General features: G+C 36.9%; 1 long non-coding RNA gene across 4 annotated transcripts in view, besides 1 other annotated feature; it reads left to right on the forward strand.

Annotated features, from left to right (window-relative positions):
- LINC00907 (long intergenic non-protein coding RNA 907) overlaps positions 1-16,816 on the forward strand; it is a 504,759-nt gene that overhangs the window by 199,785 nt on the left and 288,158 nt on the right. The gene's annotated exons all lie outside the window — the stretch shown is intronic.
- Positions 965-1,142: a silencer, noted in NCBI's record as "fragment chr18:39967382-39967559 (GRCh37/hg19 assembly coordinates)". NCBI's record gives its function as "represses an EF-1alpha promoter that drives an FKBP-Casp9 reporter gene in an ReSE screen in K562 erythroleukemia cells {active_cell/tissue: K562}" and the evidence as "EXISTENCE:reporter gene assay evidence [ECO:0000049][PMID:32094911]".

A 16,816-nucleotide genomic window follows, 5' to 3' on the forward strand; every position in this document is an offset into this window, starting at 1 on the left:
CTCTTTTTGTTGTTTTTTATAATTGTCTTGAAGTAATTATTCTGTTGCTATAATGAGGTTGCAGAAATATTAAAAAGCAATGTAATTTTAGAAATCAATATATAGAGGGGAAATCTGATGCTTTGAGTTTTCGATAATAAGACTGTGCATTTGGCTGAAACAGGCTTTTGATTTGAAAGAGATATCAACATTTTAAGTGACAGTTCTTTGAGAAAACAATTAGTCATTCTAAGATGAGATTTAACATGGAAATACCTTTATTTTCAACCTACTTAAAGACAATACTTTGGCTGTCATTGGTATTAGATTCCCAGCATTGTTGTTAGAAATGCCATAGTATTAATTTGAATCAATAGCACCTTAATTACAGTACAATTTTCTAAGTAACATCATTGTCCCCCAAGTCATTGTGATCTCTCTAGTTAAATGTGTTTTTCCATGATAAAATAATCATCAAGCTATGTCCATCCCCTAAGACTCAGAATGTTATTCAGTCTGCACCTTATTCAGCATTAAACCACTGTTACTGTCAATTAAGTTTCACTTTTAAATGGTAGAAGGGGAAGTAGTAAGTTCCTTCGACACTTACAAAGCCTTTTTTTTAAAAAAAAAAATCTTATTCCAGCACCATGCTTCCTAAGGATTTTTAATTTTCTTCTATACCAATTTTTAATAAACTAGCAACCCACAGATGAGAAATAAAAACCCTTATAAGAGGTGATTAAAACATAATGGAACATTATTCATTCTCACAAGTATCCTGAATTCCCATGGCAAATTACCAAATTTTACAGTTTTAAAATAGGGAAATGGATATGCAGTTAGTAGAAAAATTTGCATTGGTGATGAAAATTATACATATGCATAATACTCATAAGAAAGACAATTACTGCAGCTTTACTCATTGGCCAGAGGGCATTTGCCTGATATACAGTTAAGTTCTGTGGAAGAACCTGGCTTATTTAGCCAAATGCCGTCTGATGAGAATAAGGATCAAGAGTTTACTGAGGCATTTGTTTCCAAGCATTGTGTAGAGTCTTTGTCTTTAAGAGTGTTTTTTTCTTTCTTTCTTTCTTTTTTTTTTTTTGAGACAGAGTCTTGCACTGTCACCTGGACTGGAGTGCAGTGGCACAATCTCGGCTCACTGCAACCTCTGCCTCCCAGGTTCAAGTGATTCTCCTGCCTCAGCCTGCCCAGTAGCTGGGACAATGGGACTACAGGTGTCCGCCACCACACCTGACTGATTTTTTTTTTTTTTTGTATTTTTAGTAGAGACGGGGTTTCAATATGTTGGCCAGGCTGGTCTCGAATGCCTGACCTTGTGATCCATCTACCTCAGCCTCCCAAAGTGCTGGGATTATGTCCGTGAGCCACCACGCCTGGCTATCTTTAAGAGTCTTGAAGCTGTTCTCCCTAATTGAGACTTGGGTCTTCAAAGGAAGCCCTTAAGCAAAGATGGGAGGTGAACGTGAATTCTATTCAGTTCCCGTGTTTAGAATTATTGTTACCTTTTGACACTTTAAAAAATTGATATAACACTATGTGGTTAGCATATGTTGTGCACATAGCAAATTACATAAGGTACACTAATATTATGAATAAAGCTCAATGAGTATGGACATACGTACACACTCATGTATCTACTACCTGGAAGAAAATATGGGACGTTTCTAGTGCCCCAGAAGGCTCTCTCATGCTTCTTTCCTGTTGGTGGCCCCCTTCCAGCCCATAACTACTACTCTAATTTCCTTAATGAAGTCATACATTCTACATCTTTTGCATCTAGCTTCTTTCATTCAACTTAGTATCTATAAAAGTTACCCATATTGTTGCATGCATTAGTTACGTTTTTAAAATTCTTATATATAATATTCCATTTCATGGAAATACTACCTTTTATTTGTCCATTTTCTTGTTGATTGACATTTAGATGATTTTCTTATTTTGATCATTACAAATAAAGCTATTATGAACATTATTGTACACATCTTTTGGTGGCCATGTGTACTCATTTCTCTTGGATATATGTCTAGGAGTAGAACTTCCATTTAATGGGTAAGTGTATTAGTTTGTCTTCATGCTTCTGATAAAGACATACCCAAGACTGGGTAATTTATAAAGGAAAAGAGGTTTCATGGACTCACAGTTCCATGTGGCTGGGGAGGCCTCACGATTATGGTGGAAGGCAATGGAAGAGCAAAGGGATGTCTTACATGGCGGCCAGCAAAAAGAGAATGAGAGCGAAGCAAAAGGGGAAACCCCTTATAACAGCATCACATCTCATGAGGCTCATTCACTACCACAAGAACAGTATGGGGGGAATCGCCCCCATGATTAATTTATCTCCTACTGAGTCCCTCCTACAACAGGTGGGAATTATGGGATCTGCATCGCAAGATGAGATTTGGGTGGGGACACAGCCAACCTGTATGAGTAAGTATTAAAAATTTTCCATTTAAACGTATTGCCTTTTCCATGATAAAGGCAATGATTATTTTCCATGATAAACTAATCATCAAGCTATGTCCATCCCCTAAGACTCAGTCTTCCAACTTGGTTATACTATTTTACATTCTTGCAAACAATGTGTGACACTTCCAGTTTCCTCAATTCTTGCTGATGTTTGGTATTGACAATCATTTTAGTTTTAGCCATTTTGATGATGTGCATATATATATTTTGGTAACTTCTGGCTTTAGATTTTTATATGGTTTTTAGCTTTCCAGTTTCATTCTCAGATTTAGCACCTCAGATTTAGTCCATCTTTGTATCTAGTCCTGGTGTTACAGGCCAAGTTCTTCTAACTGTGTGTTCCAAGACAGATCTCTCTGGCAGAGTTGACAGTCAATCTGCAGACCAAAGCATACTGCCATGGAAATTTCATCTCTAGGGAATTGTCTCAGAACTTCCATCCTCCCTGGGTCACCTCTGAACTCACACTCACTAGAAGGGCTTACGTAAAGCATGCCCACCTGGCCACTATTATGACTTACTTCTGCCCAGGAAAGCACCAACTCAAAATCCTGTAGGTAAAAGGTAGTAGGGGACCCCTGCCCTTGCTCCTTTCTTTCCCTACCTTATAAAAATGTCTGCTTTCTGCTCCAAAGGTGAAGTAGCACCTTTAAAGGCAGGATGCTTTGTGTCATCTTCCTCTTTCTGAATAAATTCACTGTTTTGTGTGTGTCAGGCTTTACTCTCATTAATTGAACTCTACATACAGGGAGCAACTAACCTGCTTTTCAGTTACACCAGTCACCTTCTCTGATGTTACTTTTCCCAATTTCCTCCGGTGTACTTTTGTGTAGAATCTCATTCTAGCTACAACACTACCCCAGTTTTATTTTTATTATTACCTAGGCATTAAAAGGTAGTAGTCATTTGGATATACCTGGAAAATAAGGTAGACAACTTAGATAACTGCTTGCTTGTTTAATTAAAAGGTCAGGTAATACATACAGACAAATATATAGAGAAAACAAATGTGCTACTTCACACTAGCACCATCTGCTTTCCACACAGCCAATCTGAGATCACTGGAAAGAATTAGGCTGACATTATTTATATAGAATTGAGTAGAATAGAAACTGGTCCTTAAATGATGGTTAGGCTTTGTATAACTGATCCAAAGGCTCATCCCAATGGATAGAGATGGAAATACTTCAGTGTTTTTGTTTCTGATAGCAGAGCTGGAAAAAAAATAGAAATGACCATAAAGATTCAGTTAACCAGCACATGCAAGGTGTAGGAAATTTGGTCAATAATATCTCATGAGGAATCGAATATCTAAACCAGATTAACACATTTTTGTCAAACTTTCTGGTGGGCATTGTCTTAGTGTCCACATTTGTTTTACGTCTCAGTAAGGAGAGGCTATTGAACGTGATTGATTTTGTCTCTGCAGACTGGGGATCTTAAAGAGCCTTGGCGACATCTTAATGGCCCTGAATTCTCAGTGTGCTGTATTAAACAGAGACAGAGAATGAGTTCACACCGAATCCATAATGACCTTAGGATTTGCACTGTATTTTTGAAGTAAAATGCTCCATTTTGGTTTTCTTGTCTACTGCTTCTTTCTCTTAATCCATTGAACTGAGAAAAATATTACATTTGCCAACTGGTTACTTCAGTTCCAATTAATTGAGGCTGCACCATCATTTGCTAATAAATATACTTTCCTAAGGTGGGAAGTCTACTAGAAAAGACACATGGAAATCAAAAAGTCACACAAGAACACCCAAAGTAAATATTGTGTTATGACTCAGTGAAGTCCACTTTATTAGGTAAAAGCAACAAGTTCTGAACTTACCTTGGGACTGAAATAATTAACTTGATCAAGTAGGTATATTTTCTTTTTCTTTCTTTCTTTCTTTCTTTTTTTTTTTTTTTTTTTGAGATGGAGTCTCGCTCTGTAACCAGGCTGGAGTTCATTGGTGCGATCTCAGCTCACTGCAACTTCCACCTCCCGGGTTCAAGCAATTCTCCTGCCTCAGCCTCCAAAGTAGCTGGGACTACAGGTGCACACCACCATGCCCAGCTAATTTTTGTATTTCTAGTAGAGATAGGGTTTCACCATGTTGGCCAGGATGGTCTCGATCTCTTGAACTCATGATCTGCCTGCCTCGGCCTCCCAAAGTGCTAGGATTACAGACATGAGCCACCGTGCCCAGCCAAGTAGGTATATTTTCTTGAAAATAACATGAGATTTTGAAGTCCAATGGTCAGGGTCCAAGTTCTGGATTTAGTGTGACATTTGGCATGATGTTAACTTTTTTGTGAACCAGTTTTGCCAGCCAAAAACAGGAAATAGTAACAATAATACTTATCTTAAAAATTATTGTGAGAATCAAATTAGAGATATACATGAAGTATCTATATGATTGGTGAAACCTTATGACAACAGAAGATGTCATTATCTATGGTATCAAATGAAAACATGGACTACGGAGGGGGTTTGATAGGGTGTGAGGTAGTGTCTTTACTGTGCTCATTTGATCATATGTATGGAGGTGAGATGATGTCACTTTTAGTAATTAGTGAATTACTCAAAGTCTTCTTGAGCTGTTTGTTTGATAGAAAGCAGCTGGGCTCACCTTCCAGTTTGAATTCTAATTGCTTTGGTTATAATAAAGAAACTGAAACTCACCTGTTCAGGGGTTATATCTGATGAGGGAAACATTACCTTAAGTTATCTGATTAAGCATAATTTGGGTGAGAGAAACTGGCCATCATTGACTTGCTCCAAGGGCTGGAGGATGCCCTTTGGCTTTACTTGTAGGCTGAAACAGAAGAAGACCTGAGCAGTGCAGATTTCCAGGAGAGGAGAAAGGAAGGTTTGGTGTACTGAAAAGAATGCTGGTCTGAAAATCTAGAAATCAGGATTTCAGCAACAAGGAGGTGGAAGACCTTGGCAAATTGGCCTCTCTTCTTTTTTTTTTTCTTTCCCCTCCCTCCCTCGCTCCTTCTCTCTCTCTCTCTCTCTCTCTCTTCCTTCCTTCCTTCCTTTCTTTCTTATGTTTTTTCAAGATAGGATTTCACTGTGTCATCCAGGCTGAAGTGCACTGGCATGATGATGGCTTACTGCAGCCTCAACCTCCTAGGCTCAAGGGATCCTCCCACCTTAGCCTTTTTTTTTTTTTTTTTTTTTTAAGAGAAGGAAGAATTCACCGTGGTCCTCGTAATTATTTTTCACTGTGTTTCCCATGTTGGTCTCAAACCATCTCGGCTGCCCAAAGTGCTGGGATCACAGCCGTGCATTACTGTGCCTGGCCTGACCTTTCTTCTTTAGACCTCACTCTTATGTGTTAAATGGTTGGGCTGTCCTCACATTCTTCACTCTTGTCTACTCCCCAGTATAGTATCCTTATGGTGTCTTTTTGCCCTCCATTAAAATCTATCAGGAAAAGATTTAAAAGCCATCCATACTGAACTACAAATAACTGATGAGATCTCCACTGCAGAAGAGATGGAAGTTTTAAGCTAAAAGAATGAAGCACCAGCTGTAGAATTCCAGGCATTAATCAAAAGGTAATTATTTTGGAAGCAAATAGAAACTTTCTGAGAGCCTACAATCAACACTTGGAGGTAGCTGTGCTTTTTTTTTTTTCTATGCTGTCATCTGGCATGAGTGGAAAGATAAATATGAGAGAAGCAATGTGTTTGGGAAGTTCATCACAGCGTGCAGGCCCTGTATGGATGCCAAATAGGGAAAAACAACTCATCATCCTGCCCTGCTTGGCTGGTTTGTGCCCTGACTTCCTTCTTAGGGGTTGCAGAATATTTTATTTAGTTTCAATGTCTCATTTTTGAAACTTGTACTCTGTAATTAAATAAGATTGTACCATTCTAAAAGAGAAGAGGATTGCCTAAGTATGTTTGGTCCCTGGACAGCAGTAGCAGCATCACTTGAGAGCTTGCTAGAAATTCAGAATCTCAGGCCCACCCTGGACTCACTGAATTAGAATCTACATTTTAACAAGATCCCTAGGTGATTTGTGAGCACATTAAAGTTTGAGAAGTGCCGAATTCATGTATCAGGACATTTATTCCCCACCCCAGTAATTAAAATCCCTGGTGTCACCAAAGGCTCTTTTCTCTAATTTAAGCGGTTCTTCTTGCAATGCTATTTTCATCCTCTGGCTACTAATATACAGTTGTCAGATCCCTCAAGCCCGCTCAGAATTGCTGTGAAGCCCAGCCTTACATATTTAGTTCTTTTAATGTTTGCTCATAAATCAAGTCCTCCATCCCCTTAATCAATCCAGCAACTCTCCACTGAATTTGCAGCAATTTGTCAACATCTTTCTATATCTGAGAAGCTCTAGGCCTGAATGTAATTTTCTATGAGGAGACACAGATATTATTTACAGGATTTAAAACTCCTTTAAGATATGTGGTCAAGGCTAATAATCAAACAAAGTGAAGGCAGTGTATGTGCAAAGACTAGACAATCAATTGGAGATACATTTAATAGTAGCGTCATCACCATGGTCCTCATCATCATTAACTGCAATTCAAAAGATATCTCTCAAACTCTTATCATGTGTAAGCATGGTGGCAGGTACTAAGGATAAACAGAGGTATCAGAGGGGATCCCATTTCTTAGAAAGGTTTGAGTCTCCGAGACAAAGGTTTGCAATAAAATAAGTACTAGAAAGTAGAATAAGTGATTGAGGCCCAGTAAGGAGAAGAGAATTATTGTGGACTACGGCGCTTAGAAAAGTTTCGGGGAGGTCTTAAGAAAATTTAGCAATCTAGATTAATGGAAAAAAGTAGAAAGAATATTCTAGGCAGATAAATAAATTGAAACTATGGTTTTAAACAAACAAACAAAAATTTTAACTTTTAAAAGTAGACTATCCGCCCACCACATTCTAGATTGCCTATTTCTTTTTCTCTCTACATTTTTCTTATCTTCTAAAGGTTTTTATTAATCATGCATTACTTTAAAAAGAAAAGTAAATGATACTTTATGAAGCAGAGAGAAAAAAATAACTTAGTTTATGTATTTTTAAATCTTACTATCTCTTTCATCTAAAAGAAGGGAGAATTCAGCAAAACAGTGTATACAGAGGAAAAATCGAGGTTCCCTTAGCTGCCCTTCTCTCCTCTTCAGGCTGGCATAGGAAGGGAATGGATCTGCAAAAACAGCCTCCAACAACATTTTCCAGTGAAACATTTGAAATCACGCTCGGGAGCTCTGAGTTCCACAGCTGGTCCGGTTGTGACTGAGTTGTGTGATGTTGGGTGTCACTTATTCTTTCATATGCCAAATGGGGGTTTTATTATGATTATCATGTGTTTCATAATAGCCTTATTAGGATGATAAGACCTTAATATGGGCTTCTAACATGTGGAGCTAAGTCTGTGATATAGTGGCATCAAATAACTGTGTGATTTATTGTCCAAATTCAGATGTCTTTGAGAATGAGAAGGGCTTTTGTTAATATCCACACCACAGCAACCCATAACAATGAGGCCTGTCCCCACACATAGGTCTGTTTGGTCAACCCAGCTAGTACAGACCAGAGTATCACTACAACTCTGTTGTGGGAGAAAGAAATGTTCTTTTTTAGTAACAGATTGTTTGGTTTTGTGAGACTAAGATTTTTTTTTTTTTCCCCAGTGTAAGCAGCTCTGCCCAGAACCCATATTTTGGGTGAAGGACACCCTTAGTCCATGGAGTGAGAAACAGGGATTTGCTGGATGTAATGATTTTCCAGCCTCTCCCTCTCACCTCTGCTATTGAAGATTGAGTTAGACCTGCTCTGAAGGCCACAGAATAGATGGATGCATATTCTAATTCCTAATGCCTACAGGGCAATAACTCAGGCTGATTCCTTCAGCTACAATAACAAGGTTTATTTTATTACAGTTTGAAAGCTGTTTGGGACCTCACTAGGAGAACATGTCCCCTGGCTCAAATAGGTTAAACATCTGCTAACTTTCCCCCCAACTTTCCCCTTAACTTTGTTTTATTGTTATTGCCCTCATGAGGCCACTAAGCAGGAGTTCATGGGAGGAAGAATGGAAGTGACATTTCTATCATTATTCAGCACATTCAGGCAGTTTATTATCTGGGAACTCATTCCTCCTCAACCCCCAAGGAACTTAATATGAAATAATATTAACACATTAAGCATGTAATGTGAGGCTGCATTAATTAATATAATGTACAGATCTCTTACAAATTGTGGCCCAACTCTACTCCTATTACTGAGCTCAGACATGAAGGCGGGTGTTACGTCCATGTTTTTTAAGAGAAAACATGGTGTCCAGAGGGTGACTAGGCATGTGAGATGCCTAAAAACAACCTTATTCAGTGTGCAGGAGAAGAGAAATGTGGAATTTATCTTCTGGAAACTGAAGACTTGCCATGGGAAAAAGAAGTGCATTTATATTAGTGATGATCCAGAAGACAGAATGAAAGCAACATAAAAAATAACTTCCTGCAAAGTAGATCTGAGGCCAGCCTATGTATATGGGAAATATTTTAGAAAAGGCTAGTTATTTGGGGTGAGGCAGTTTTCTGCCCTGGATAAGTGCAAAACTGTAAAGAAACTCAAAATCTAGGATTCCATGGTCTGTAATTTGTACTCTAACTTGAAGTTTATTAGTCCTTCTAAGCTAGAAACCCACTTGAACTTAAAGCAACTGCATGTCAACTTTTAGGTTACTATTCTCCACATGGGTTCTTTCTACTCTGTAAAGTAGTACTTTGCTTTATAGTAATTGCTTTCAAATTTCAAGAATATTTCTTCTAATTATAATTGTCATGAACATTTCTTGTTGCCTCCCAAACATAAATTTTCTCCTTTTTGACAGATTTTACTCAGGTTTCTGTCTTTCTCTTGTGCAGCTATGTTAACCAAGAAAAGCTGAGCCAATCTCTGGTTTCACAGATGGGCTCTGATTAGTTAAATTAATCGTGGTAATGACTTAACAGTCATTCATCTAAGAAGAGACATATAACCCAATTCTGGCCTGTGAGACTTAAGAAGAAAATGGTTGGAGGCGTTTGCAAAGATTCTGCTTTTATGAGAAAGGAAAAGAGGGTTATTTTTTTTTTCTTTCTCAGAAAAGACAAGAGGAATCTTGGCCTCAAAAACTGATATCCATCATAAGATCATGGTGAAATACAGTCTGAAGCAGGTCCAGAGTGAGAAGAGAAAAGAATCACAGAAATGGGGCTGGAGTTTCAACTGTATTAAGCCAGAAGACTACCTGCCTCCAAACTTTCAAGAAGCCAACAAAGTTCCTGACTGTTTAAACTAATTTGAGTTGGATTTCTATTGCTTGTATCTAAAAGAATCCTAACTGGTAAGCTAAACCTCCCGGAGTTGATAGTTAGGGACTTTATTTACTATTCACCTTTACTTATTATTATTTTACTTTTATTTTAAACTAATTTTAGGCCAACAGAAAAGTTGACAAAAATAGTAGAGTTCGTATAAACTCTTCACTAATATTACCATCTTACATAACCACAGTACACTGATCAAAACTATGAAATTAACTATAGTACAATAGTATTAACTAAACTATGAACTTTATTTGAATTCCACTAGTTTGTCCACAAATGTCCACTTTTGTGTTCCAGGATCCTATCAAAGATCCCACATTGCATTTCATTATAATGTCTCCTCAGTTTCTTCCAATCTATAACAATTCCTTAGTCCTATCTCTTTCAATATCTTGACACTTTTGGAATGTACTGATCAATTATCTTTCATGATTATTGGTTGCAGGTCTACTCAGCTCTGGTTTTGGAAACTAAAAAGTCTTATGATTTTTGATGCATTCATGAATATAAATTACTCAGAGTTTTTGGCTTCTTTTGTAGTAGTCTCTCTTGGAAACATTTCCTTTTCATGATTATATTTTAAAGAAAACACCATCAACACAGTATAAGAGTTTACTTGGGATTGTCCTCTGGCATTATTAACAAAAGGGTTGCTGTTTTAATTATTTTGTAGCTTATTTCCAATGGTCATTTTGAAGGCTTTTCAAAAGTTTGTTGGACTTTTAGGCCACAAAAAAAGACATTCAACAAACATATATTAAACACTCACTCTGAGCAAGAAATTGTACTTCTTGTTTGGAACACAAAGGTAATATGACATAGTCCATTCTCTCAAGAAAAACAAAATACTGGGAGACATCTTCAGAGAAAGGTAAATTGTGGTCATTAGATCTGTTTTAGCAATTGTGGTTGAAAATCTGTAACCTGTTATTTTAATCAATATGGAGTGTGTCTGGGCCAGTTGCTTAGGGGAGAAACATGAGTCCTAAAAGAGTAAGGGGAGAGCATTTTTCACTTCATTCTAAAATATATATTATATATTTACATATTATATATATCTTAATGTATAAATATATATTCTATAACTATATCATAGAAATATATATGCAATTGAAAACAAGCATATCTAGAGTCACCAGAACCAAGAAATCTGTTTACCTTTAATGGAAGATTTAAGCAGATTAAATTTTCTTCATATAATCTCTCCAATATTTTGCAAATTTTGTGTCTGATGGTTGGACTGTCAGATCTTATGACCATTTACTATAAGAGTCATCACCAGACTATTGAAAGAAATGTGGAATTAACATTACTATAGCCTTTACAAAGGCAAGGTACTAATGAAATGTACCTTGCAATGATTTTGGACATTCAAATTAATTAGAATTAAAATGAATATGTTATTTTCCTAGAAACAATAGTCACTCTCTGAAGCTCTACAAATACTGTAGTTATAAAAATTATAATTTTTTCTGAAATAGCTAAAATGTGTGAAGCTTAATCTGTAATGCCTCGTAGCCAATGAAGCTGTGTCAAGTTTCTGCCATTGATTAAATGTAGTAGCAGAGCTGGAGCATTTAATCAATCATAAAACCACTTTAATGCATTGTATCACTCTAAAGCTAGAGCGATTAGGGCAGTTGCACTGCAGGCCAGAATGCAAAATGCAGAACAATAAAAGGGAAGGGAAAATAGTCTATGTCCAGGTCTTCATGTTTCAAAACGTGCAAATGGATAGTTTTGTATGCATTATGTGTGTCATTTTACTGGCACAGATATGGCAAAGCAATCATTATTTGCAATGTGTAGAGCTATGTCTGCACACATATAAGTGAGCATAAACAAGTATAGTAGTTTGAGAAAAAATAATAATGGATTTTGAACAATGATGAATATTTTATGCAGTATGTCACTTCTGAAAGTTACTTAATTCCCACCTAAATGAGAATTTCTAATGTTACTCATACCACTGCCACAGGAAAAAAGAAGTTATTGCCAGAAGAAGAAAGAAGAGGAGAAGAAAGAGGTATGGGGAAAGAGAAAGGAAGGAAACGGGGAGAGGAAGAACTGAGGCCATGTGACTCGTATATCAGATTTGATATAATAGGATGGTCAGTGTAGGGATCACCATGTGACATAGAATGATAAGACCAAAGAAAATAATGATGGGGTGAGACCATACAAAGAAAGAAGATAGATGAATGATCTAATTAAATGGATGAATGAGGATTTTTCTTGGTCCATTATGAGGAAGAATTATAGTGAATACCACAACCACATGGTATTGATAAATTGCAATTCGTTTTACCTACATATATAACCTATATATATATATATATAATATTATATTTAGTTCAGAATTAATCTGTTTATATCATAGTATTCGATTAATGTTCATATTCAATTAATTCCTTTGTGATCTTTGTCAAGTCTTGAGGCAATAGAACCTCAGCATTGCTGAGGAGAAATCCCTGAAAGAGTTGGATCCAAACTGACATTTGAAGTTGAAACTATGGATTCCAACACTGATAGAAAGGCAAGCATGATCCCTGACAATGATCTCATGTTATATCACTCTGCAGTATTTACTGCTGAAATGTTTACCCATTTGTACAACTAAACTGAAGAGGAGTCTGGCTTTGCAATACTTCCATGGAGCCTGGCCCTCACCTTTTCTTCATGCTCAAATTTTAGCTTTAATATTTTGGAATATATTGTGGGTTTTGATTATTAATCAGACCTGTGTACCTTTATTATTTTGCATGGATGCCAACTTTGATTGTACAATGACAGTCATACAATAAGCACCATATAAATACTAACAAAATTACCACCTCAGGTTTGAAGCTTTGAGCTGGTACTGAGCATATTAAATGACTACTGTCTTCAAGGAATTGTTAATATTACCGAAAAGCCAATGTTAGTACATATGACATTACATGTAAATATCTTATATAATAGAGCATATAAATACAAATTGCAGGCTAAAATTATTGTAAGAGCTGAGAAAAATTCAAAGACAAATATGACCAGTGAGAACAAAATTGATCAAGCAAGACTTCAAGGGGGAGGTAGGATGAAACTCAAGCCATCATGATAAATTAGACTACTTAAAATAAGTAGAAAAATTGATCAAGACAATTTAGAAGCATCATAGGCTTAAGAAGCATCCCAAAGTTTCCTGTTAAACGACTGAGGGAATAAAGACTTTAGGGGTGGATCAAAAACATTAGAGAAGACAAGGACCTGAGCATAAGTGCTTCAGAAGACAATATTTTCCAAAAAAGTTTCAAGGTGAATATTTCTAATGTGGCATCTGTTCATGCATTTCTTTTGTTGACACAGTGTAACCATGCTGAGGAAATTCCTGAGAGAGTGGGACCAAGGAGGGCACTTGGTTTTAATTCAAGTTAAGGAGTGGCTTTGAGTGTGCACAGGATTATCCTAAAGGTGCTGAGTGTTTGAAGACAGTATGGGGTCATGTGGGTGGGCAAAGAGAAGTACTTGACTTTGGAAGACTGACTTCTTTTATTCAGTATTTCATAGCAGGCTCTGACTATCCACATACATGTCTGAGATGCTGTTTATCTCCCAGTTTTTATCTTCTGTCTTTTCCTTTTAGAATTAGAGCCTCTAAATTTTAACTGGACACACGCTACCCAAAATAAAGTCTTAAATTTCCAGACTTCTTTGTACTTAGTTGCAGCCATTTGTCTAAGTTTTGGCTAATGGGATGTAAACAAATTCATATTTTGAGTTTCCAGGTTATGCCCTCCTTGTGGTTTGAATCTGTATTGCTGCTAAATCTCATGCTAAAATGTAATCCCTGGTGTTGGAGGTGGGGCCTGGTGGGAGGTGTTTGGATCATGGGGGAGAATACCTCATGAGTGGCCTAGCACCATCCGCTTGGTGATGATTGAGTTCATGCAAGAAATGGTTGTTTAAAAGTGTGTGGCACCTCGCACTCTCTCTCTTTCTCTGGCTCCCACTATTTTCCATGTGACATGCTGCTTCCATTTCGCCTTCCACCATGATTGTAAGCTACCAGAGGCCTTCCCAGAAGCTAAGCAGATTCTGGCACCATGCTTCCTGCACAGCCTGTCAAACTGTGAACCAATTAAACCCTTCTACATAAATTGCCCTGTTTCAGGCATTTATTTATAGCAATGCAAAGAACAGCTTAATAAAACCCTTAAAAGAGAATGGACATGATCTTTATGTCCTCTTCTTCCCCTTTCCTGTGGAGTTGAATGTGAATGTGGTGATGAGCTATCTTGGACCATGAAAGATGAGGGCAGAGCACTAGGAAGGGCAGAGCTACAAGATAGAAGGAGGCAAAATCTCCAGCTCTGTTGTGTCATCATGCTAGCCTTCGACTACCTAACATACATAAGAGAGAATTGCACTACTGTTTAACTTAGGCCAGTATATTTGGGGGTCTTTTTCTTTCTACGGTTGTTGGCAAGAGGTAAATATTTTGATGATTGCTTACTAAAGGCTTATTGATTACTTGAGTAAATTAAGAACAGGTGTTTCAATATTCACTCATAGCATGTGCTTTGATCACATTTTACTTGTAAAGAATTTGGTTTCCTTCTTAGCCTTGGGCATAATTCACTCTGCAGGAAGAACGGCAGCTTTATGGCCCCATCTATGTTTTTCCCATATTCATTCACATTGATAGTGGAGCAAGGTACCATGAACATGTGATTTGATGTTTCTGAGTGTTTTGTGTCACTGCTTTTGTTACTAGAGGAAGACAGCTGCTTATTTCATGATCCTTATTTTGGAGGTTCTTTTGAGATTAGTTTGAACACATTGAAGCACATAACTTTTTTACAAAGGTTATCATGTCTCTACTTTGAACTTTGAAAAGAATAGAAGAGAAGTAATCATTTGCAAGCAGCTGTTGTGTGGGGTCCTTCATGTCAGCAGGTCATGACAAGCAGAGACACAGAGGTTTGTTCTCCGTTGGGTTTCATAATTTCATTTCCCTGACTTCATTAACACCGAAAATTGATGGTTATGACATTTAAAAGCATGTGAGTGTTGAAGTCAGACCTGGGTGATGTTATCAAGAGAATAAATGCTTTCCAAAAGTCAATGGATGTTACCTCTTGCTTCATTTCCTCTGCCGCTACCATCTGCTAATTCTAGAATCATTTCTGACTGAAGCAAAGGATTAGCACCTTTGCAACAGTGCCCTTCCAGGCCAGCAGGGTGAGTCCTCCCTGTACTCTGAAGGAGAGAGATGTGGTTTAAATCAGGTTATAAACCCATAGCCTCTGAGCTAATCAGCAGTGAGAAATTTCTGGGAAGGCAGGTCCAGGGTTATCAAACTCTATTAGAAGCAAGAGCATCGGTTATGCAAATAGCATCATAGTAACAAAGTCAAAATCCCTGTGGAAAAACATTTTTCTTTCACACTTCTCATTGAGATATAAAGCGCATTAACATTTTAAAAACAGCTTTATTGAGGTATAATTGACATATAATAAACTGCACATATTTAAGTGAACATTTTATAAGTTTTGGCACTTATATATTTGGGAAGTCACCACCACAGTCAAAATACTCAGCATGCCCATCAGTCCCAAAAGTTTTATTTTTAAATTGTATTTATTTTTTTACTTTTATTTTTAGTTGACATATTATAATTTTACATAATTATGGGATATAGAGTGATATTTCAATACATATGCAATGTATAATGATCAAATCAAGGATATTATTATTTCTATCACGTCAAAGATTTATAATTTGTGTTGTATACATTCAAAATCCTGTCTTCTAGCTTTTTGAAAACATGCAATAAATAATAGTTAAGCATATTTATCCTACAGTGCTGTAGGACCCAATAACTCATTTCTCCCATTTAGCTGTAATTTTGTACCCATTAACCAAACTTTTCCTATCCTCCCCTCCCTACTACCCTTCCTAGCCCTAAGAATCACAATTCTACTTTCTACTTGTATGAACTCAAATTTGTTTAGCTTCCATGTATGAGTGAAAACACGTGGTATTTATCTTTCTGTGCCTGACTTATTTCACTTAACATAATGTCCTTCAGCCTCATCCATTTTTCCATGAATGACACGATTTCATTCTTGTTTTTTTTTTTTTTTTGGCCGAATAGTGTTCCATTGTGTATATATACCACATTTTCTTTATCCATTCATCTGCTGATGAACATTTAGGTTGATTTCATATCTCAGCTCTTGTGAATAGTGCTGCAATAAACATAGGAATGTGGATATCTCTTCAACATGTTGATTCCTTTACTTTGAATAAATGCCCAGTAGAATTGCTAGATTATATAGTAGTTTTATTTTTAGCTTTTTTTAAGAACTTCCATGCTGTTTTATGTAATTGATTTTCCAATTGACATTCCCACCAATAGTGTGTAAGAGTTCTCTTTTCTCTACATCCTTGCCAGCATTTGTTATTTTTTTCTTTTTAATAATAGCCATTCTAACTAAAGTGAAATGATATCTCAGTGTAGTTTTGATTGCATTTCCCTGATGATTAGTAATGTTGGAAAAATTACATTTTTGCTTCTGCTTATTTTCTTACATTTCTTTCTTTCCTATCTTCTACCATTCCACCTTCTTCTTGATGAAGAAATAGTACTTACAAGGTCATATGGGAGGTGAACATAGTAGGATGTGAGGAAGTGAAGGTTCAGTAGCCCCAGAGTTCTGTGGTATGGAAAGATAGGCAAACATGTCTGCAAAGCTGCCTATTCTTCCTGCTCCAGAAGCAGCCCTGCTCAGTATCCACACCTAGCAAGGTACCCAACAAAGATTCAGTGACATTCAAGTCTATCAAGGAGATTTCCTAATTTATGTATGTGGGATTTGCAAACTTCACCATAATGTATTCTGAAAGTTTTGCATTCTTTCGACAAGATATATTGAATCTCAGGCCCTGGTCTCTGATTGATCCCAACACTGGGGTCATATGTTAGAGTGCTACACAGTTATCTGACAAGCCTTTATTATATATTGTAAAAGGCTA

Source organism: Homo sapiens, chromosome 18 (assembly GCF_000001405.40).
Source record: "Homo sapiens chromosome 18, GRCh38.p14 Primary Assembly".
In the NCBI taxonomy this organism is placed as follows: Eukaryota; Metazoa; Chordata; class Mammalia; order Primates; family Hominidae; genus Homo; species Homo sapiens.